Source organism: Homo sapiens, chromosome 2, assembly GCF_000001405.40.
Source record: "Homo sapiens chromosome 2, GRCh38.p14 Primary Assembly".
Classification (NCBI taxonomy): domain Eukaryota; kingdom Metazoa; phylum Chordata; class Mammalia; order Primates; family Hominidae; genus Homo; species Homo sapiens.
Genome location: NC_000002.12, coordinates 43,208,677 through 43,229,627, shown reverse-complemented (window position 1 = coordinate 43,229,627; position 20,951 = coordinate 43,208,677). Strand labels below are relative to the sequence as shown.

General features: G+C 53.0%; 1 protein-coding gene and 1 long non-coding RNA gene across 2 annotated transcripts, besides 17 other annotated features; one reads left to right on the top strand and one right to left on the bottom strand.

The window, feature by feature from the left end:
- LINC01126 (long intergenic non-protein coding RNA 1126) lies at positions 773-2,417 on the bottom strand. Its single transcript, NR_027251.1, has one exon. It is a non-coding gene; the product is annotated as a long intergenic non-protein coding RNA 1126 (long non-coding RNA).
- Positions 2,359-3,248: a silencer, noted in NCBI's record as "silent region_11424". NCBI's record gives its function as "represses an Ori minimal core promoter by ATAC-STARR-seq in GM12878 lymphoblastoid cells {active_cell/tissue: GM12878}" and the evidence as "EXISTENCE:reporter gene assay evidence [ECO:0000049][PMID:35858748]".
- Positions 2,359-3,374: a biological region, named in NCBI's record as "H3K27ac hESC enhancer GRCh37_chr2:43453393-43454356".
- Positions 2,411-3,374: an enhancer, noted in NCBI's record as "H3K27ac hESC enhancer chr2:43453393-43454356 (GRCh37/hg19 assembly coordinates)". NCBI's record gives its function as "activates a minimal SCP1, AML or CMV promoter by ChIP-STARR-seq in naive and primed H9 embryonic stem cells {active_cell/tissue: H9 hESC(naive and primed)}" and the evidence as "EXISTENCE:reporter gene assay evidence [ECO:0000049][PMID:30033119]".
- ZFP36L2 (ZFP36 ring finger protein like 2) lies at positions 3,022-7,226 on the top strand. Its single transcript, NM_006887.5, has 2 exons — positions 3,022-3,363; positions 3,876-7,226. Exons 1-2 carry the CDS (start codon positions 3,313-3,315, stop codon positions 5,307-5,309), a joined length of 1,485 nt encoding a protein of 494 aa, NP_008818.3. The 5' UTR covers positions 3,022-3,312; the 3' UTR covers positions 5,310-7,226.
- Positions 3,629-3,728: a silencer, noted in NCBI's record as "silent region_11423". NCBI's record gives its function as "represses an Ori minimal core promoter by ATAC-STARR-seq in GM12878 lymphoblastoid cells {active_cell/tissue: GM12878}" and the evidence as "EXISTENCE:reporter gene assay evidence [ECO:0000049][PMID:35858748]".
- Positions 4,689-4,738: a silencer, noted in NCBI's record as "silent region_11422". NCBI's record gives its function as "represses an Ori minimal core promoter by ATAC-STARR-seq in GM12878 lymphoblastoid cells {active_cell/tissue: GM12878}" and the evidence as "EXISTENCE:reporter gene assay evidence [ECO:0000049][PMID:35858748]".
- Positions 4,809-5,048: a silencer, noted in NCBI's record as "silent region_11421". NCBI's record gives its function as "represses an Ori minimal core promoter by ATAC-STARR-seq in GM12878 lymphoblastoid cells {active_cell/tissue: GM12878}" and the evidence as "EXISTENCE:reporter gene assay evidence [ECO:0000049][PMID:35858748]".
- Positions 5,229-5,308: an enhancer, noted in NCBI's record as "active region_15667". NCBI's record gives its function as "activates an Ori minimal core promoter by ATAC-STARR-seq in GM12878 lymphoblastoid cells {active_cell/tissue: GM12878}" and the evidence as "EXISTENCE:reporter gene assay evidence [ECO:0000049][PMID:35858748]".
- Positions 8,466-8,515: an enhancer, noted in NCBI's record as "active region_15666". NCBI's record gives its function as "activates an Ori minimal core promoter by ATAC-STARR-seq in GM12878 lymphoblastoid cells {active_cell/tissue: GM12878}" and the evidence as "EXISTENCE:reporter gene assay evidence [ECO:0000049][PMID:35858748]".
- Positions 9,208-9,337: an enhancer, noted in NCBI's record as "active region_15665". NCBI's record gives its function as "activates an Ori minimal core promoter by ATAC-STARR-seq in GM12878 lymphoblastoid cells {active_cell/tissue: GM12878}" and the evidence as "EXISTENCE:reporter gene assay evidence [ECO:0000049][PMID:35858748]".
- Positions 9,408-9,467: an enhancer, noted in NCBI's record as "active region_15664". NCBI's record gives its function as "activates an Ori minimal core promoter by ATAC-STARR-seq in GM12878 lymphoblastoid cells {active_cell/tissue: GM12878}" and the evidence as "EXISTENCE:reporter gene assay evidence [ECO:0000049][PMID:35858748]".
- Positions 9,469-12,046: an enhancer, noted in NCBI's record as "VISTA enhancer hs1909". NCBI's record gives its function as "enhancer in: somite[6/9] | limb[7/9] | heart[9/9]" and the evidence as "EXISTENCE:transgenic organism evidence [ECO:0001131][PMID:17130149]".
- Positions 9,868-9,927: a silencer, noted in NCBI's record as "silent region_11420". NCBI's record gives its function as "represses an Ori minimal core promoter by ATAC-STARR-seq in GM12878 lymphoblastoid cells {active_cell/tissue: GM12878}" and the evidence as "EXISTENCE:reporter gene assay evidence [ECO:0000049][PMID:35858748]".
- Positions 10,091-10,620: an enhancer, noted in NCBI's record as "H3K27ac-H3K4me1 hESC enhancer chr2:43446147-43446676 (GRCh37/hg19 assembly coordinates)". NCBI's record gives its function as "activates a minimal SCP1, AML or CMV promoter by ChIP-STARR-seq in primed H9 embryonic stem cells {active_cell/tissue: H9 hESC(primed)}" and the evidence as "EXISTENCE:reporter gene assay evidence [ECO:0000049][PMID:30033119]".
- Positions 10,621-11,150: an enhancer, noted in NCBI's record as "H3K27ac-H3K4me1 hESC enhancer chr2:43445617-43446146 (GRCh37/hg19 assembly coordinates)". NCBI's record gives its function as "activates a minimal SCP1, AML or CMV promoter by ChIP-STARR-seq in primed H9 embryonic stem cells {active_cell/tissue: H9 hESC(primed)}" and the evidence as "EXISTENCE:reporter gene assay evidence [ECO:0000049][PMID:30033119]".
- Positions 10,998-11,057: an enhancer, noted in NCBI's record as "active region_15663". NCBI's record gives its function as "activates an Ori minimal core promoter by ATAC-STARR-seq in GM12878 lymphoblastoid cells {active_cell/tissue: GM12878}" and the evidence as "EXISTENCE:reporter gene assay evidence [ECO:0000049][PMID:35858748]".
- Positions 14,214-14,980: an enhancer, noted in NCBI's record as "H3K27ac-H3K4me1 hESC enhancer chr2:43441787-43442553 (GRCh37/hg19 assembly coordinates)". NCBI's record gives its function as "activates a minimal SCP1, AML or CMV promoter by ChIP-STARR-seq in naive H9 embryonic stem cells {active_cell/tissue: H9 hESC(naive)}" and the evidence as "EXISTENCE:reporter gene assay evidence [ECO:0000049][PMID:30033119]".
- Positions 18,961-19,555: an enhancer, noted in NCBI's record as "H3K27ac-H3K4me1 hESC enhancer chr2:43437212-43437806 (GRCh37/hg19 assembly coordinates)". NCBI's record gives its function as "activates a minimal SCP1, AML or CMV promoter by ChIP-STARR-seq in naive H9 embryonic stem cells {active_cell/tissue: H9 hESC(naive)}" and the evidence as "EXISTENCE:reporter gene assay evidence [ECO:0000049][PMID:30033119]".

Here is a 20,951-nt window from a genome sequence, read left to right as displayed (position 1 = left end):
GTGTTACCCACTAATAGTTATCTTGAGAATCATAGCTTTGGAAGGGTAGTAGCTTCATCCGCATTCATTTTTCATCCTACTGATCTGAAAAAAACATTTCATAGTATGTAAATTTGCTCCAGATTTTAGGGTCTGTAAAAAAAAAAAAGTACTCAGGTAAATGATCACTTAGAGTAATTTCATTGATGTTTCACAGAGTCTGAAGGGGCGGGTTAGAGGAGAGTGAGTTTACAATCATTTCCTACTGCAGAAAAGCTCATATTTCAAATGTAATTCATCGCTCTTCGAGAGAAAACCATCTAACACTAAAAATGCAGCTGTAAGCCAGGCATGATGGTGCACACTTGTAATCCCAGCTACTCAGGAGGCTGAGGTGGGAGGATCGCCCAGGAGTTCATGCCTGTGAAAGGCCACTGCACTCCAGCCTGAGTAACACAGCAAGACCCCATCACTAAAAGAAAGGAATTTAAGAACAAAAAAGCAGCCATACTGGAAGTATAGGAAAGGGGCTTTGTAGGAAGAGGCAGGAAAGAAGTTAACTCAGTGTCCAAAGTTTTGTCCTAAAGAGAACAGGAAATTCCCTGGGTGGTTTTGCAACCACTCGGCCCCAAATGTGGTTTTTGTGATCCTGAATTAATTACCTAGTTAGGAAACTGTGTAGCCCACACCTGATGGAAAGCTGCCAACCTAACACTTTTTGTTCTAAGACCTAGCTGGTGAGAAGTGAGGGACTTGGTAAAATAAATGTGGTGATAACCACAGAAAAATAATAATGAAACTGGCCCAACAAAGCCCAGCTCATTGGAAATGGCCAGCACTTCTTTTTTTCTCCATTTAAAATGAAATAAAAGCAGCTACATTAGACATTTTATACTAGCAGGTACTCTGTACACAAGCATGTCCCGTAACATGTCCACATGTTATCTCCAGAATCCTAATCTGCAAAGTGGGTGTTCTCACAGCTGTTGACTGGGACTCACCCCAGATTTGGACGTTGTTTCAAACAGATGTTTCCACTGGTTCTGTATCTGAAATCTTGTTACTAACCTAATAGGAGTGCCTAGGGAAGTGGCTGTTTCACAGTTTGGTGAGATGTTTGGGGTCATCTCACCAAAGAACAAACCAGACCACAGTTGCCCAGGTATGTCAAGGGGTCAGTGTAGGGTAGGTGCTAAAAGTGAAACTGGTCCCTCTGAGGTCACCTGCTCTTGGCTGTGAGTCCTAGGGTCCAGGACTTGGGTGCCCCCACAGCTCTGCACTCATGATTCTGTGGCTCTCTGTCCATCTGGCCACAGTTCAGAAGCCAGGCTTTCTCCACCCTTACGCTTTTGTCAATTTGGTTTAATACATAAAGATGGTTTAGTTCTTGCTTGTCTTTTAAACACCTTCACAGATATCATTTGCACCTTGCCAAAGGTGAGAGATGAATAAAGCAAGAATATTATCTTCGTTTAACAAGGAAACCCAAGTACCAAAGAGATGATGTGATTTGCCTAAGACCACATGATTTCTCTGGGGCAGGACCTGAACTCCAGCCCAGCATTCCTGATCCTTACCCTGGACTCTGGCTCCCTGGGCCATGAGGGGAGTACAGTAGTGGGAAATGCAGGATACACTCCAGGGACTCGAATCCCTGAGTGGCAGGCCTAGTTCTTTCCCCAGCGGGTCCGGGGCCTTCGAGCTTCAGGCCCAAGCTTTTTGTGGCAACCTGTATGAACGCGGAGGGAGAAGTGCCCTAGACCAGACTCCAGATCGTTCCTAGTGGGGCTGTCAGCGGCTTTAGCCTCACTGGGCGCTAGATGGGAGTGTCCCCTCCGTACCCGGACGAAGGCGGGGCGCCCGCTGGCAAAGCGCATTTTCCAGCGCAAGCTGTTGGGGTGCGGGGCTGGCGAGTGAGGGAAAACAGAGGGTGGCGCGCCCACCATCAGCGTCTGTGCAGCCCCACCTGCGCCGCGGGTTGGTCTCAGCCGGATCCTGCAGCCCTCATCGAGCAAAGGCTGGGCGCGGCGCCCCCACTGCCGGGGAGGGAAGAGGCTGGGAGGACGCAACAGGCCCAGGCTGTGCCGGGCGGGGAGCCTCGGCAGGCAGCTGCACCCCCAGCCCCAGAGGGCTGGGGAAGGCCGGCCCGACCAGCAGACGGAAAGGTGGCGCTAAGTCGCCTTCAAGCCCGCACGGCTCTCCCGGCCTTTCCTCCTGTCCTCAGAGTCAGCTCCCCCGCCCGGGACGTCCCGCGCCACTCCGCGCCTTTGGCCCTGGCTCAAGGTCTTGTGATGTGATTAGCAAAGCCAGCGCCTTGTCCTCAGACACTCAGCCCTGCCCGGCAGGCCCCGGCGCTCAAGCCCTGTTTACTGAGCCTGGGCGGGGAGGGGGCGGAGAAACGAGCCCGGGCTCCACCGGCAAGACTGCCGCGGCGGCCGCCCGCGTGGCCACCCCCACCCCCACCGCGACTCCACGTGCAGTCGGGCTGGAGCCGCCACCGACTGGACGCAGGCCCCGAGCCCCCGCCTCCTGGCCGGGGCACCCTTTGCAAACCCGCCGGGCCGCGGGGATGGTTGCGATATTCTGGCATTTTGCAATTCCCGCGCCCAGTACAAAACCGAAGGTGGGAGCTTAAAGCTCCACAGGTCCGCCTCGGAGAACAGGGCAGGGAAAGACACGTCCAGGGCTGCAGAATCCCGGCCACGCTAAACGTACCGGGGCTCTCCGACCGCGCAGCCCCGGAGGAGAACAGCCGTGCCTTCCCGCCGCCACCCGGCGGCATCCACTGGGGCCGAGAGCTACACGCCACACCGGCCGCCCGGGCCGCCGGCCCCGCCCGGAGGCCTCCAGCACCCTCCCCCGGAGGAAAAAAATTGGCGGCGGCCAATGGGAGGCCGGGAAGGCGCCTGACGTCCGCGAGCGGGCGGGCGGCGTTGCCTGGAGACCCCGGCGGGGGCCGAGTTCTGTCCCCTCCCCCGGCGCGCCCGCCCCGCCGCAGCCGCACTCCCGGGCTCTATATAGGGCGCGCGCTCGGAGGCCGCCGAGTTCCAGCAGTCCGCGAGCTGCCGTCGGCTCCGCGGGGGGGGCGGGCCGGGCACCCCGGGGCGCGGAGGAGCGCTCCTCGCTTCTCTCCTTCCCCCCTGCCGCACTCCGCCGGACCCTCCCGCCGGCCCGCGCCGCTGCACTCGCCCTCTCCTCTCGCCCCCCGGCAAACTTTCGGCCCCTCCCCGCCCCTCGCCCGTTATTCGTCGTGGCTCAAGCCCGGCCACGCCGCCCCAAGGGCTCCTCCCGACCTCCCGGCCTGCCGCTCCGGCCACTGCGGGATCCAGAAACATGTCGACCACACTTCTGTCCGCCTTCTACGATGTCGACTTCTTGTGCAAGGTAGGCCAGGGAGCGGGCCCGGCCGGCAGCAGCCGTTGTAGTTCTTGGACTTTGCCTCTGTCCCCAGGTTCTGGGGGACGCCCCTCCCGCCCTGCCTTTCAGGTCGGGAAAGTCCCGGGGTTTGCAAAAGAGTGTCCGAGCGCCCTGGAGGCGGGGAGGGCGGCAAGGAGGGCGCCGGTGTCGCGGTTGAGTTTCTCCACTGCCGACCGCGGCCACGCTGCCCGGGGCTTCCCGGACAGGCTTCGCGCCGCCCACCTCGGCAGCCGGGGCGGAGGATCACGTGTCGAAACCCAGCGCGGCCCACGGTGGGCGTCCTCCCCTCTCCCGCTCCGTCCAGCAAGATCTTGCTGGTTTTGCGCGTGTATAGGTGGAGGGTGGAGGCCGAGTCGGGATCCGCCAAGAGTGGGGGAAAAAAAGGAAAAGAATCAGGCTGGGAGTTCCTCTGCGGCTCGCCCCGAGTCTGTCTTCCCCTTCCGTTTTTCATCCCTTCCCCGCTCCCCTCCCTTTGGCAGACAGAGAAATCCCTGGCCAACCTCAACCTGAACAACATGCTGGACAAGAAGGCGGTGGGGACGCCTGTGGCCGCCGCCCCCAGCTCGGGCTTCGCGCCGGGATTCCTCCGACGGCACTCGGCCAGCAACCTGCATGCACTCGCCCACCCCGCGCCCAGCCCCGGCAGCTGCTCGCCCAAGTTCCCGGGCGCCGCTAACGGCAGCAGCTGCGGCAGCGCGGCGGCCGGCGGTCCGACCTCCTACGGCACCCTTAAGGAGCCGTCGGGGGGCGGCGGCACAGCCCTGCTCAACAAGGAGAACAAATTCCGGGACCGCTCGTTTAGCGAGAACGGCGATCGCAGCCAGCACCTCCTGCACCTGCAGCAGCAGCAGAAGGGGGGCGGCGGCTCCCAGATCAACTCCACGCGCTACAAGACCGAGCTGTGCCGGCCCTTCGAGGAGAGCGGCACGTGCAAGTACGGCGAAAAGTGCCAGTTCGCGCATGGCTTCCACGAGCTGCGCAGCCTGACTCGCCATCCGAAGTACAAGACCGAGCTGTGCCGCACCTTTCATACCATCGGCTTCTGCCCCTATGGGCCGCGCTGCCACTTCATCCACAACGCGGACGAGCGGCGGCCCGCGCCGTCGGGGGGCGCCTCCGGGGACCTGCGTGCCTTTGGCACGCGCGATGCGTTGCACCTGGGCTTCCCGCGGGAGCCGCGGCCCAAGTTGCACCACAGCCTCAGCTTCTCGGGCTTCCCGTCGGGCCACCATCAGCCCCCGGGCGGCCTCGAGTCGCCGCTGCTGCTCGACAGCCCCACGTCGCGCACGCCGCCGCCGCCCTCCTGCTCTTCGGCCTCGTCCTGCTCCTCCTCCGCCTCCTCCTGTTCCTCGGCCTCCGCGGCCTCCACGCCCTCGGGCGCCCCGACATGCTGCGCCTCCGCGGCGGCCGCGGCTGCGGCCGCTCTGCTGTACGGCACCGGGGGCGCCGAGGACCTGCTGGCGCCGGGGGCCCCGTGCGCGGCCTGCTCGTCGGCCTCGTGCGCCAACAACGCCTTCGCCTTCGGTCCGGAGCTCAGCAGCCTCATCACGCCGCTCGCCATCCAGACCCACAACTTTGCCGCCGTGGCCGCCGCCGCCTACTACCGCAGTCAGCAGCAGCAGCAGCAGCAGGGCCTGGCGCCCCCCGCGCAGCCGCCGGCGCCGCCCAGCGCGACCCTCCCCGCCGGGGCCGCCGCACCTCCCTCGCCGCCCTTCAGCTTCCAGCTGCCGCGCCGCCTGTCCGACTCGCCCGTGTTCGACGCGCCCCCCAGCCCCCCGGACTCGCTGTCGGACCGCGACAGCTACCTAAGCGGCTCCCTGAGCTCCGGCAGCCTCAGCGGCTCTGAGTCTCCCAGCCTCGACCCTGGCCGCCGCCTGCCAATCTTCAGCCGCCTCTCCATCTCCGACGACTGAGGCAAGAGGGCGCCAGTGAGGAGGAAGGGAAGGCGGTTCAGAGATGTTGGAGGACACCCCTCGCCATCTCGCCCTTGCTGGGGGCACGGGAGTGGGGGGGGTGACATGGGCCCTAGGCAGACTGCAAGCCCGACCGAGCACTTGGACTCGAACTCTGTGCCGGGAGGGGCCCCCACCCCTCCTTTTTCGGTTTCCTCTTGTCTTTTTTTTTTTATTTTTATTACGAAGTTTCATTCTTTTTGAGCAAAAAAGTCGAACTTTTTCTGTTGAACAAAATATTCACAACAGGGCAGTTGTGATACGAATAGAACAAAAAAAAAAAAAAAACACTTAAACTTTGTTAGGACTCCGATGAGTTTGGGACTTCAGGAAAAATCAACCCAGCACCAGCAGCTACCAACCACCATTCCATCTCTTCACTTGAACAGCATTAGTTAAGTCCAGATGTGGGAACCCTTCTCTTGGAAGAAGTTCCTAATTGTGTCTCAGACCGGTGTAAACAAACCAGCCAGCCGCCACCTTGCTAAACCTATAAGCTTTTTAAAATCCAATATATTCTGCCAAGAATATGCCTTGATAGTTAGCCCTCAGCCCATAGGTGTTTTTTGTTTTTTAACAGAATTATATATGTCTGGGGGTGAAAAAACCCTTGCATTCCAAAGGTCCATACTGGTTACTTGGTTTCATTGCCACCACTTAGTGGATGTTCAGTTTAGAACCATTTTGTCTGCTCCCTCTGGAAGCCTTGCGCAGAGCTTACTTTGTAATTGTTGGAGAATAACTGCTGAATTTTTAGCTGTTTTGAGTTGATTCGCACCACTGCACCACAACTCAATATGAAAACTATTTAACTTATTTATTATCTTGTGAAAAGTATACAATGAAAATTTTGTTCATACTGTATTTATCAAGTATGATGAAAAGCAATAGATATATATTCTTTTATTATGTTAAATTATGATTGCCATTATTAATCGGCAAAATGTGGAGTGTATGTTCTTTTCACAGTAATATATGCCTTTTGTAACTTCACTTGGTTATTTTATTGTAAATGAGTACAAAATTCTTAATTTAAGAGATTGTATGTAATATTTATTTCATTAATTTCTTTCCTTGTTTACGTAAATTTTGAAAGATTGCATGATTTCTTGACAGAAATCGATCTTGATGCTGTGGAAGTAGTTTGAGGAACATCCTATGAGTTTTCTTAGAATGTATAAAGGTTGTAGCCCATCCAACTTCAAAGAAAAAAATGACCACATACTTTGCAATCAGGCTGAAATGTGGCATGCTTTTCTAATTCCAACTTTATAAACTAGCAAAAAAGTGTTTGCTTATTCCACCAGTTCTACTGTGACATACTCGAGTATAAAGACATGTAGCAATAACGGGGAGTGGGGGGGGAGTCTCACAGTGCCTTTGGAAGGGCCCGAACTTGCCTTAAATCTTCCTCAACCAAATAAGTATTTTATTAGTGCTTGAGAGAATCTGAATGTAGGATGGGTTCAACTGCACAAAAGGAAAAGATTTTTACCACTTTTTTTATATAGATATAAAGTGAAGCAACCGCCTTAGTGCTGAAATATGTAGTACATGAATATGCCTTGTTTAATTACAGAAAATTCCAAAACTTGTACTATTTTTTTTTCCATGTAGAAAGGCAGGAATGTCTCCTAAGCTTTCCTGGACAGCAGATGAATGAGCGGTAGCTTTAGTTTGTACGTAGGTACAGTTGGAGCACTATATGTACTCTCTGGACTACTTTGGACAGAAGTAGGTTTTTGAATGTAACAAGATAAGTCAACTTGAGTTGTAATATATTTTGGGGAATCAGCTCACTACAAATTGTGACTGTAAACATTGTACTGTAAATGTTTTGTAGTTTTCCCCCAATAAAATTTTTGGGAAAAAAAGGTATTAACATGTAAGAGCTTTCTTTTTAAACAGGAATGTCTTAGCTTTCTAGCTTCCCAGCTAACCATGTCTGCCATTCCCCAGGTCTTGGCATGGTGGGGGAGGACTTGGAGAGCTGGCAGAGCCAGAGTTCAGAAGAGCCTGCGTCCTCTCAGCCCGTATATATTTTATAAGCAAGTTCTTCTAATGAAAGAAAGTAATTATTTGGACTGTCAAGGGCATTAGTTAGCTAGTTGTTCCCTTTGGTAATAAGATGCATCCCAGAGTTAGCTGGCTGGGAGCAGAGCCTGGCCGGGAGGCCTGAAGGGGTGTGGCCTGCCTGTGAGTCACTGAGTGGATCATGTGGCTGCGGTAGCAGCTGAGGGTCCGATTTTTTGCTGGGAAACACAACTGCTTGGGTGGGGAAGGGGAGGAGGATCTTTCTGCAGCCGGTGGCCTGCCAGGCCTGAGTGCTGAGCTGGAGGTGGAGAGTGAGGCCAGGCTTTTTCTGGGTCGGAGAACTGGAGTTCTGCCTGGATTTTGGAAAGCTTGGTATGTCCTTGTGGACAGGGTGGAGGGGAAGATTAAAGAGGTTAAACTTATATCTGGGTGATGTTTGCTTATGCGGACAACTTCCTCTGGGAATGAACACATACAAGTTATTTATGCAAAAAAGATTTCTTGTCTGTGCTTTAGAGGACTGTAAGTGACCAGAAAGCAAATTCAACCCAGGTCTCTAGAAAAAGGAAGGAAAAAAAGACATTGATTTGCCTGCTGATTTCGCAAACGGTTGAACAAAATCTTACTATAGTGACTCTGGCTGTTTCTAACTTTAAAACAATCACTTTAGGAACTTAAATCGGGTTCATAAATCAATTCATGTTTCTTCTCCTCCACCGCCGTCCCTCATGCACACAGTTCAGACACTTTTTCCAAGGTAGGTAAGAGATTTAGCAATAGTTTGCTTTCTCATATACAACAGCTGGGCTCCATCAACAATCCTCGCATCCCCGCTCCCTCCCGGGCCCTGCCTTAGCCGGGGTCTCTGGTGACTCACAGCTGAGCATGGAGGGGAGGGGGCGGTCTGGTGGATACGCCAGGCCTCGGGCAGCTGTTTCACGTTAACGATGATTGCACTGGTGTTAACTGGAGCGTTTTGGTGCTTGTTGCTTGCTGCCAAAGGGGATGGGAAACAGTTTCAAGGTTCTCCCAGATGCCAGCCCCTGACTGAAGGCCTCAGCAGCAGGGGAGAGGAAGCCCGAGGCCAAGGAGGGCTCAGGAGGGGTGAAGACTGCAGGCTCCCTGGCCCCTACACCATAAAGAATGTGCAGTGGGGAGGAAAAGTCTAAAATGTGCTATTTAGGTTAAGCTGCATTTCAAAGGCCTTGTTTCCACTTCATTCCTAAACTTATTTTTCTAAACAAGTACTTTTGATCAGCTGGAATGTTGGGGGTAAGCCACATTCATTTTTAAAAACTGGTTTGTTTGAAAAGCCCAACTGTTAGGATCTGAAGTTTTGTATCGCAGACCCAGTGGAGCGTGGAAAGCTACGGGGGGATCATTCAGAAATTTCCTCTTGCCCCAGATCAGTGGAGGGTACTGTCATTGTCTTCCTGCAGCGCCTGGAAATTAACAGCAAAAAAACCTCTACCGTTGCTTGATCACCCTTAGAAAAGTTTTCTTGTAAATTAAGGAAATAGAAGTAAAGATTGCAAGTAATGACAAACCAAAATTCCCATCCCGGACTGTTGACTCTAAGACTGAGTTGCACTTAGAAACTACAGGAGAAAATTCCTCCGTAGTCAGTTGTGAAAATGAGCCCAGAATGTGATGGTGTTTAGAATGTCTTCATCGTGGCGTTTCCACTGGATGTCTGAAGACTAAGGTATTTTTTAAGCAGCCCAATTAGTGTGTGCCACCTTCTAACTTATTTCAGAGAAAGGATGTGTGCATGTACACATTTTCCACCGCTCATGCTGTCTGAATCTACTGCTGGGTGTGTAAAAGAAAAAAAAAAAAGCACACACAAAAAAACTATTCAGAAGGCCAAAGCTCTGCACCAGCCCCAGGGAATAGATGGAGGATTGTGAGCCCTGCAGTGGCTCAGGACCCCGGATGACAGAGCCAGGCCTGGTGGGCCCGACGCAGGAAAAACAAGCAGGCCTAGCTCTTGGCCGCCAGCCTGGCCCGGCACTAGAATGCTCGGTGCTAAAACCTGCCTGGGGGCGCTCAGAAAAACGCCAGGGTGGCCATGTGCAGGGAGGAAGCCCGCTAGAGAGCACTGAACCTCGGAAAGGAACCGTCCCCAAACACCCGCTCTCCTTCAGTTTTGCTTGTGGTGACAAGTGAGGGCGGATGTGACTCTCACCAAGTTTTCTTGAGACCGGAAGTTGGGTCTCGGCACCGTCCTCGGCCTTGGAAGTTCGTGGGAGCCGGCACAGCCCTTAGAGGCTAGCCGGGCTTACCTTCCATCAGGGGCCCATTGTCGTGAACTCTAATTGTGTTTATTTTTTCTTGTCCACACTCCTGGGGGATATGCAGAGCTGTGGCCGTCCAGGGCAATTCCAGTTCTGTGCCGCTGCTGGCACGGCTGAGGGAGGGAGGAGGACAGCGGGGGCTGTGGCGGGGCGGGGCCTGGCAGCTGGACAGGCCTCCCCAGGAGGAGCCCTGCAGGGAGGAGGCGGGAGGGAGCGGGGCAGCAGGAAGCCACAGCACCTCCAGGGCCCAACCTCTCCTGATGGGTTTTGCTAGACCTTGAAAGAGTGTGTGTGTGTGTGTTGTGTGTGTTGTGTGTGTGTGTGCGCGCGCGCATGCATGCCGTGCACGTGTGTGGAGGCCTGAGGGGTGCGCCTGTATGGGAAGTGTATTAGTACGTGTTTCTGCGTCCTTTTCTGTCTGTGGGTGTGCAGAGGTTTGTGGTGTTGCTCCGTCTGCAGGTGTTCAGGGGTCTGCATGTGTGATGTCGCCCTAGGGGAGTACTGGTGTGTGGATCTGTGTGCTTCTGCATGTGGAGGCTATGTGGGGGGAGGGTCTGTGGGTATGGCTGTGTTTGGATGTGAGTGTGTCTGTGTGTAAGTGTGTGTGGATGTGTGTGAGTGCTGGTGTGGGTTTGGGTGTATCTGTTGCTATGTAGGTATGTGGATCTTTGGGGTGTGCCTGGGTGTGGGTGTGTCTGTTGTGATGTGGGGGTTGGTGTGTACGCAGGGGCGTGTGTGTTGGTATACATGGGTGTGTCTGTGTGTAAGTATGTGTGGATGTGTGTGAGGGCTGGTGGGGGTTTGGGTATGTCTGTTGCTGTGTAGGTAGGTATGTGGGTCCTTGGGGTATGTCTGAGTCTGGGTGTGTGTGTGTGTGTGTGTGTGTGTGTGTGTGATCTATGGGAGTGGGTTTGGGTGTGCCTGTGTGTAGCTGCTGCTGTGTGTGGGTAGGTGTGTGGCTCTGTGGGGGGTGAGCAGCTGTAAGTGTTGCTGTGTATTTGGGTCTGGATGTGTCTGCTGCGGTGTGCATGTGGGTGTGTCTGTATGTGGGTGTTACCAACACCTACGGAGGAAAAGCAGACCTTTTTAGCATGGCTCTTTCAAGTTTAAAAACTGCTTTCAAAACCCGGAAATGACCGCCAGGCTGGCATCCGCTTCCTGCAGGGCAGCAGGCCGGGCAGGGCTGGGTGGGAGGGTGGTCAGTGGGCCCCTGCCTTGCAGGGACCCCAGACTCACCTCTGTTGCTGGGCACACCTGCCAAGGACAGGCCTTGGTGCCGCTGGCTGTCTGCAGGGACATTTTTAGAAAGAATTCACTCTGTGGGAAGGGGGAGGGGCCCTTTTATTTTCATCTGGGCAGAAATAGCTCCTGTCAGATAGCAGCTCTTGTGCCCTCTGGGGCGAGAGGCAGCTCTGAAATAGAAGGAAAGATATTAAGGACTCGAGACAGACAAGAAAACTCCTGAGCTCGCTGAAACCAAGTTTAAAATATTTCTCTAAAAATAAGCTTTGTTTTTCTTGTGGATTCCTCCGGCCCTCGTGTCAGGGTGCTTAGCTGGTCTGGGACGCCAGGCGGAATTTTTAAAAAACCAAGTGTTTCCCAGCTGTGGCCTTGGAAAGTTCTCTGTTTTCCATTTATTAAACTCCTAGTTTCCGGCTAATTAAAATTATTTTCAAATAAAACTCCATGGCCCAGCAATATTTGATGAAACACAGAATTCCCGGTGACCCCTCTGCAGGGGGCCAGGCGGCTGTGGGGCCGCCTGTGTCCCCTCCAGTGCGCTCAGTGTTGGTTTTATGGGGAGAGGGAACCCGGGCCTTTGAAATGCAGACCGAGGGCCTTGTCTTACTAAATCCCACCTCCGCTCCCGTGGTGACTGCTTGCTGGTGTGGTGACTGCTTGCAGGCGGGCAGTCTGAGTCCTGCACCACTTGAGAAGGGGCTGCGGGGTAATTGGAAACCTGCTGTTTGTTTCCCCTGCACCACTAATAACCTGAGCAGAGGGGGGTGCACGTCAGGGGAGAGGAACTTGGCTGAGGCATGTGGCCACATGATCTTCTGCTACCTGGTGGTTTCTCCCTGGCCTGGCAGCTGTGGAGTCTTCAGCTCCCACCACGCCAATGTGCCAGGACTTTATTGAGCACCTATAAGATGCCCAGACTGACATCTAGTCCCAGAGTTGGGTGGGACTTAACTGACATCCAGGGCCACATGTTATGCAGATGGAAGTCGGTGAGGCTGCAGGGTGGAGGCAGATTTTGCTGAGGGCCAGAGCTGGTGGGATTCAGACTTACAGACAGATCCCCCTCCATGGTCCCCCGCATTCAGCCCACACAGCAGTGGGGCAGGATACTGGGTCTGTTGGCCCAGCCCTGCCCTTTCATTCATCCCACAGAGACTTCTCCATTGTCTAGTAAATGCCTGCACTGGGCTAAGAGAGGGGAGCTGACAGGTGTTATTCCTGCCTTCAGGGAGTCTGCATAATGATTTCAAGGTTCATTCATGTTGTAGCAGAAATCAACTTCATTCCTTTTTTATGACTGAATAATATTCCAGTGGATGGGACTTTGGGTTGTTTCCACTTTTTAGCTACTGTTGAATGTTGAATAATCCTGCTATGCACAAGTGTAGAAGTCCGTGTGTGAACATAAACTTTCTTTTTTTTTTTTTTTTTTTTTTTTGGAGATGGAATCTATCTATCACCCAGACTGGAGTGCAGTGGTGCAATCTCGGCTCACTGCAACCTCCGCCTCCCGAGTTCAAGTGATCCTCCTGCTTCAGCCTCCTGAGTAGCTGGGATTACAGGTAAGCACCACCACGCCCGGTTAATTTTTGTGTTTTTAGTAGAGACAGGGTTTCTCCATGTTGGCCAGGCTGGTCTTGAACTCCTGACCTCAGGTGATCCACCCACCTTGGCCTCCCAAAGTGCTGGGATTACAGGCATGAACCACTGCGCCCAGCCCATCTTAGTTTTTTCAAAAAGTATAATCACAAGCTGAAATCCAGGCTATAAAGGGGAAGAACATGGTACTAAGGGAGCATCTGTCAGGGAAATTGAACACACATAGGGCCCAGAAGGCGCCTGAAGAAGCAAGAAAGGACCGGGCATGGTGGCTCACACGTGTAATCCCAGCACTTTGGGAGGCCCAGGCGGGAGGATCGCTTGAGCCCAGAAGTTGGAGACCAGCCTGGGGGACGTGGTGAAACCCCTTCTCTACAAAATATTCTTTTTTTTTTTTTTTTTTGAGGCAGAGTCTTGCTCTGTCATCCAGGCTGGAATGCAATAGCGCAGTCTTGGCTCACTGCAACCTCTGCCTCCCAGGTTCAAGCGATTCTCCTGCCTCAGCCTCCTGAGTAGCTGGGACTACAGGTGCTTGCCACCACATCCGGCTAATTTTTGTATTTTTAGTAGAGACAGGGTTTTACTGTGTTGGCCAGGCTGGTCTCAAACTCCTGACCTCGTGATTCATCTGCCTTGGCCTCCCAAAGTGCTGGGATTACAGGCCTGAGCCACCGCGCCCGGCTCTTTAACAAATTAGCTGGGAGTGATAGTGCACCACTGCACTCCAGCCTGGGGAACAGAGCAAGATTCTGTCTCCAAAAAAAAAAAAAGTTGTGTTTTTCACTGCAGAGCGCAGAGGGTTATCACACATGGAAAGAGCTGGGACTCTGGAGTCAGATGGGGGCAATGGATCCTCAGGTGCTGCGAATTACTCGCTGGGTTACCTTGAGCACAGTTCACAGCCTCTTTGAGACTCAGTTTCTTCATTCGAAAAATGGGTTAATATGTAGTTGCTGTTATAAAGATTAAGTGGGATAATACATGTAAAGTGCCTTGCCCAGGGCCTGGAGGTGGTGTGTTGAGGAGCACGGGCTGGCTGCTATTATTAGTAATAGAACACTTCATCCCCTTCTGCTACCCCTCCTACCCTGGCCCAAGCTCACAGTTCTCCAGGTCAGAATGCCTTAACAATTCTAATAGCTACTATTTATGGAGCTCCTATTATATACTAAAGCTTTACATATGTTAATGAAGTCCTATAACAACCCAAGACCGAAGTCCTATTGCTATTCCCATTTCAAAGATGAGGAAATTGAGCTCAGAGGAGTTGTTATATGCCTGCGGCCATGGGGTAGGAAATGTCAAGGAAGAATCCAAAGGAATCTAAGCTTTTGCTCTTTCAAATGCCACAGGCTGCTTTCCTGACCCCTTTCTTCCTGCTTTACTCCCACCTGTCTATAAAGCCCTGATCCTTTAAGAAACCCTCCAGGATTTCATTCCAGGGTAGACTGTGTCCTGCCTCATCTGTGCATTTTTTTGTTTTGTTTTGTTTTGTTTTTAATAGAGACAGGGTCTCACCATTGTGCCCAGGCTGGTCTCAAACTCCTGGGCTCAAGTGATCCGCCCACCTCAGCCTCCCAAAGTGCTGGGATTATAGGCATGAGCCACCACACCTGGCCTCATCTGTTTTTTAAAACACAGCTGGGCACAGTGGCTCCTGCCTATAATCCCAGCATTTTGGGAAGCTGAGGCGGACGGATCACTTGAGTCCAGGAATTTGAGACCAGACTGGGCAACATGGCGAAACCCCATCTCTACAAACAATACAAAAACTAGCTGGGCGTGGTGGCACTCACCTGTAGTCCCAGCTGCTCAGGAGACTGAGGTAGGAGAATCCCCGGAGCCCAGGAGTTTGAGGCTGCAGTGAACTATGATCATGTCACTGCACTCTGGCCCAAGTAACAGAGTGAGACCTTGTCTCTAAAAATGATAAGAATAAAAATAATAAGAATTTTAATGCTAAAAAAGGTTTAAAAACCACTGACCGCTGGGTGTAGTGGCTCACAACTGTAATCCCAGCACCATGGGAGGCCGAGGTGGGCAGATCACCTGAGGTCAGGAGTTCGAGACCAGCCTAGCCATCATGGCAAAACCCCATCTCTACTAAAAATACAAAAATTAGCCAGGCATGCGTGGTGGCAAACGCCTGTAATCTCAGCTACTCAGGAAGCTGAGGCACAAGAATCACTTGAACCCGGAGGCGGAGGTTGCAGTGAGCCGAGATCTCGCCACTGCACTCCAGCCTGGGCAACAGAGCAAGACTCCGTTTCAAAAAAAAATAAAAAATAAAAACCCATGACTTAGTGTAGCCCTCTCATTCCATAGATGAGAAACTTAAGGTTGAGAAGGGGTAGGGGCACCCCTCTGGAGACTTGCCAGTTTCTGGGTCTCTACCTAGCACTTGGAAAAGAAAGAACCCAGGACACCTCCCTGAGCGTGCGCTGTGCCAATAGGGCTGTTGGTGTCGATTCTCACCAAAGCAAACCCAAATCCTTCTTGGCTGAGAGGCTCAGCATGGCTGGTCCCTGGATGTTCCATCCAGCAGGCTTCTCAGAGGGGGCCCAGAGAGTCTGTGGGGCTGACAGGCAGGAGCTTGCCAACAATAGCCCTGTAGGTCCAGAGCCGCTGCAGGGGCTGGGACCGGAGGGAGCTTGGGCAGGCATTACCTCCATGGCTGTGGAAGGGCCTGGCCCTAAGGGGTTACAAGCAGGGGCTCCCATTGGACTGCAATCAAATCTCAGCCCAGTGCTGCCTCCTACCTGCGTGACCTCAAGCAAATCTGAACTTCAGTTTTCTTTTTTCTTTTCTTTTCTTTCTTTCTTTTTTTTTTTGACGCAGAGTGTTGCTCTGTCACCCAGGCTGCAGTGCAGTGGCGTGATCTCGGCTCACCGCAACCTCCGCCTCCCAGGTTCAAGTGATTCTCCTGTCTGAGCCTCGCGAGTAGCTGGGATTACAGACGCCCGCCATCATGCCCGGCTAATTTTTTGTATTTCAGTAGAGACGGGGTTTTGCCATGTGGGCCAGAACCTGTCTCAAAAAAAAAAAAAAAAAAAGACCAGCCTGACCAACATGGAGAAACCCCATCCCTATTAAAAATACAAAATTAGCTGGGCATGGTGGTGCATGCCTGTAATCCCAGCTACTAGAGGGCTGAGGCAGGAGAATCGCTTGAACCTGGGAGGCGGAGGTTGCGGTGAGCCGAGATTGCACCACTGCACTCCAGCCTGGGCGACAAGAGTGAAACTCCGTCTCAAAAAAAAAAAGTGCAATATTTATGGTTTGTTTGTTATTACCATTTTGGGGTATTTTTCCACTTCTAATCAGTAGGCATCCAATCTGATGGGCATCAGGAAGGCCCCATGGTTTGCCCCCACCAAACTCCCAGGGTTTGTAGCTGTGCGTGTAGCCATTTAGATTTAAATTAATTAAAAGTAAGCAAAATGTAAAACTCACTTCCTCAGCCATACTAGATAGCTACGTTTTAAGTATTCAGTTGCCACATGGAGCTAGGGGCTACTGCATTAAACAGCACAGAACATTTCTGTCATCACAAAAGTTCTGTTGGACAGCACTGTGAGTCTAGAATGTTCTATTAAAATACCAACAGCTGAAGGAAAGATGCTTCCAGCAGCAGGTCCTGGGATACCCCCATGATGTCCTTGCTGGTTCTCCTTCCTTCCAAAAGCCAAGAGACTCCAGAATATTCCCAAACTACTGCTCCACCTGGCAGATTGAAAGTGCCAGTGGAGAGGGGAAGGGACTGAGCTCTGCCTAACTGCCCACACGTGCTGGCATCTCTCAGCCCCACTCAGCAGTCTGGGACCCACCTCCTCCCAGATGCACCTCACACCAACCCCTCCAGTTGTCCCTGTCCCCAAGCATGTGACACCACATCTCTCAAGGAACCCATGCCAGAACTTGGCACGCTTCCCCAGTCTTTTCTCTCACTTCCCTCTACCCCTTCCCTCATAGGTTGCCCAACCATCATGACTCTGCTTTCTAACCAGGCCTTGACTTTGCCCCCTTTGTCTCTAGCTCCTCTGCAACTCAGGCCTGCCCCACGCTCACCCAGACACCTTGTCAACCAGGAGCCCTGGCTGGTCCTCTTCCAGGCCACCACTCCTCTAGAGCAAGGTTGTAAAGCACTTGGGTGATCATACTCTTCTCTGCCCTAGGACGCTACACAGGGTCCCACCACCCACTGTTCAAGTCCAAGGAGGCTCTGGGATCCGGAAAAACCTCCCTCCTCTGCCTATGCTCCTTGCTTCTTAGCTGCTCGGGAGCACCAAGGATTCCTAGAGATGCTGTTCACACTCTGGGCCCTTTACTTTCCTTCCACCCCTGCCTGGGACATCCCCTTGTGACCCCCTGCTTCCTCGCCTCTTCCCTCCGCGGTCAGCCCAGGCTGAATCTCAAACTCAGATCTAGCCTCTCCACCCAACCCTGGCCCCACCGGGGCACTGTCCAGGCCTTTATCAGAGCACATATCACAGCATCCCACAACAACTGGTTATGTCTGTCTTCCTCTCTACCCTGTCAGTTCCTTCAAAGCAAGAACATTGTGTTCCTCCTTGCAGCCCCCAAGCCTGGCTCCTCGAAGGGCTTCAGTAACTGTTTCTACGACAAAACCAATCTGCCCTGTGAGACTGGCCCTGTTCGCTCCCATTGGACAGATGAGGAAAATGGAGCTCAGAGAATGAAAGATGCTTGCCTGAGGTCTCCCAGTGCATAAGTGGCAGCGCCATGATGCCGCCCCAGGCCCTCACAAAGAGGGCGGAGTGTCCCAGCCATTCAGAAGAGGCAAAGATGCACTATTCCTTGGTACAAGGAACCTCATGTTGATTTTTTCCTCTTTTTTATCTTTTTTTTTTTTTTTTTTTGAGACAGAGTCTTGCTCTGTTGCCAGGCTGGAGTACAATGGCACTATCTCGGCTCACTGCAACCTCCGCCTCCCGGGTTCAAGCGATTCTCCTGCCTCAGCCTCCTGAGTAGCTGGAATTACAGGCACCCACCATCATGCCCGGCTAATTTTTTTGTATTTTTGTAGAGACAGGGTTTCACCATGTTGGTCAGGCTGGTCTTGAACTCCTGAGCTCGGGTGATCCGCCCTCCTCAGCCTCCCAAAGTGCTGGGATTACAGGTGTAAGCCACCGCTCCTGGCCAATTTTTTCCTCTTATTTGGAACTCATGCCTGCTTGTTATGAATATTCCAACAGCTGCAGTGAATCCCAATACGTGCAAGTGGAAAAGGCCCCCTTAACCTTCCTCCTCAGGCCCACTCAGCAAATGTGGCCACTTTGTGGCCACTTTGTGTAAGGCATTCCAGAGATCTGGTGAGGCACCTATCTACAAATATTTATACACACACATTCATATATGGTTTCAGTCACAAAATGGGGTCATTCTCTCCCCTGACCTATCATTTAGGGCATTGGAACATGGCTGCATGTGGCTCTGTTTGTGAGGGTCCAGGGGATGGACAGGGAGGCTCTGCATTATTTTGCTTTTACCAACATTGCAGCATGAACGTTTTTTTAACTCAGGGCCTTGGGTGAATATCTCCATCAGATGAATCCCGAGAAGTAGCATGCATGGGTCACAGTGTGGCTCACGTGTTTCTTGGGAGGGTCACATGCATTTTTCCTAATTTATAGTATTATTTTATTTTTTATAGACAGGGGGTCTCGCTATGTTGTCCAGGCTGGTGTCGAACTCCTGAGCTCAAGCCATCCTCCGGCCTGCCAAAGTGCTGGGATTATAGGCGTTAGCCACTGCGCCTGGCCCATCATGCATTAAATGCTTGAAGCCTGCCCTCGTAGTAACATGTTGCACTAAGTATAATACCTCGGAGGCCGCGTCCCTCCCTGTCTGTCCCTCCCCACTGCCTGTTCTGAGTTTCTGGAGTCCACATCTCAGGGGCTCCAGCCTGGACTCTGGTCTTTCTCCGACTCCCTGCCCTGTTCTCAAGTCCCCCTGTTGTCGTCCACTGCCTAGGCTGGCACCACAGTCTGAGGCTGCCACCTGGGAGACCCAGGCGAGGCCTGGAGCAGTCCCAGTGGGCTCAGGGCTCCTGGGGCCTGAGGAACCAGAGGCACTGAAGCCACGTCGGGGAGGCCCTGCCTGTGTGATGGGTGGTGGGAGCAAAAGAAATCCTTTCTGAAATGACAGCATTGGGATGACAGCGTGTGTGGGAAGGGGTGTGTGTGTGTGAGTGCGTGAGGCTGTGGTGTGGCTCTGTGAGTGTGTGTGAGTGTGGGGGGGTGAGCCGGCATGACAGCATGTGTGGTGCTATGTGGGAGTTGCCATGCGTGTGTTTTAGGGCAGTTATGTCAGGCGTTATGTAAGGGAGGCGCTCCCTGGGGCCAACAAACCGCAGTGGTGTAACCGCCAGGCCAGCAGGGAAGGAGGGAAAATGTAAACACCATTCCGTGCCTTTCCCTGCCCTGCCACAGGCCCTGCGGTCCTGCCTTCCCGCCACCTGAGGCCCCGTGGGCTGGCTGGGGGGTGATGATGGGGGCGTGAGGGCTGAGGCTCCCAAGAGCTCCATAGGCGTGCACATCTGCAGCTCTTGATACTGGCCCAAGGGATAGCACCAAAGGAGAGCCCAGCCAGGGCCTAACTGGGCTTCTTCTGGTCAGTTGCAGGCCATGCATCCCCCACGTGTGAGGCGTGCAGGCTTCCCTACCCCACAGCGCTCCTGTGTCCCAGAGGCCTCTCCCTGGCATAGGAGCCCCTTGCCCTGCAAAGAATCAGCATGGGGTTCACGGCTCACCTGTTCACACCTGTACGGTGGCCTCAGGGCCAGCTGTCTCTGTCTCTCTCACATACACTCAAAGGCGCACCTCCTCCCTGCCCCACTCCACATCCTGGCCCAGACACCTTCCTTCCCACCAGCTCCCAGTTTCCAGCCCTTCAGCCTGGCACCTGAGGCTTCCTCTTCTAGGAAGCAGCCCTGTCTGCTCCAGGCCAGAGGCCTTGCTCCCCACTCTGAAAACTCCTGAGGCCCCTGTGGATACATAGCTGGACATCTGGCCAAGCTCAATAGTCCCCTGTTCTCCAGTTGCTCGTTTTAAGAATAATGGCCATGGCCAGGTGCAGTGGCTCACACCTGTAATCTCAGCACTTTGGGAGGCTGAGGCGGGAGGATCACCTGAGTCAGGAGTTCAAGACCAGCCTGGCCAACATGGCAAAACCCTGTCTCTACTAAAAATACAAAAACTAGCTGGGCGTGGTGGCACGCGCCTGTAATCCCAGCTACTAGGGAGGCCGAAGCAGGAGAATCACTTGAACCTGGGAGCCGGAGGTTGCAGTGAGCTGAGATTGCGCCACTGCACTCCAGCCTGGGTGATAGACTGAGACTCCATCTCAATAATAATAATAATAACAGTGGCCATAATTTATGGAGTATACTCTGTCAAACCCCCTCCCTCAAAGTGTTCTTATTATGCCATGCCATCCTTGAACCAATCCTAGAAGGTGGTGTTCTAACCATCATGGGAGCCAGAACCCCAGCAGACAGAGGTTAAGTGAATCATCCACGGTTATGCAGCCACGCCTAGAAGTGGCTGGTGGCAGAACCTGTATTCACAATCTCCCGTGGCTGAGCCCCATTTCCCCACACCTCCAGGCTCTTGGGGAGCAGCAACTCTCCTGCTTCCCGCCCCCCACCTTCCCCAACATAGTGCCAGCTGGGCGGCCACAAGATACTTAAATCAAGGCTGTGGCTTACTCAGTGGCTGCATGCAGTTGGTGCCATCTAAATGCTAGATGACTGAGTAACTGAACAGGATTGAATGCAATCTTTTACTTGGAACAATAAAGTGCAATGTTGAGAGTAGGAGCTCTGGAATCACTCAGCTATATGACTTTAGGGTACTGACAGACCCAGCTGAGCCTCAGTTTCCTCACCTGCAAGATGGAAATCGCCATTGTGTCTTCCACACAAGGTTACTGAGAGAATTTCTGCGACGCTGGGTGTGATGGGCTTGGCTCCGTGCCTGGCACACATTTTGCAGTCAAAAATGTCAACTGCTGCTGCTCCACTTTCGGGGTAGAGCTGGGGCAAGCATATTCTCCCATTTTAACAGTGAGGAAAACTGAGGCCCAGAGAAACCACTTTCCCAAGTTCCTGCAGGACTTGGACTGCAACTGCAAATTGCTGATTCCTAGCCTGGAACCTTTAACAACAGGCCAGCGCTTCTCATCCAGTCAGTGTGGATAGAGGCAGTGGAGTCAATGGAGGAAAATATTTTTCTAGACCTTACAAAAGTTTCTGATCAGCAAGAGAGCAGTGTCCTCTTGGAAAGATAGTACTCTCATTTTTCTACCCCTGTGAAGGAGGGATTAATCAAGGAGGCCTTACAGGAAGAGGTGGGCATCAGAGTAACCTTGTCTCCTTAAAGGAGGAAGACACTGTGGCCCTTCAGGGGAG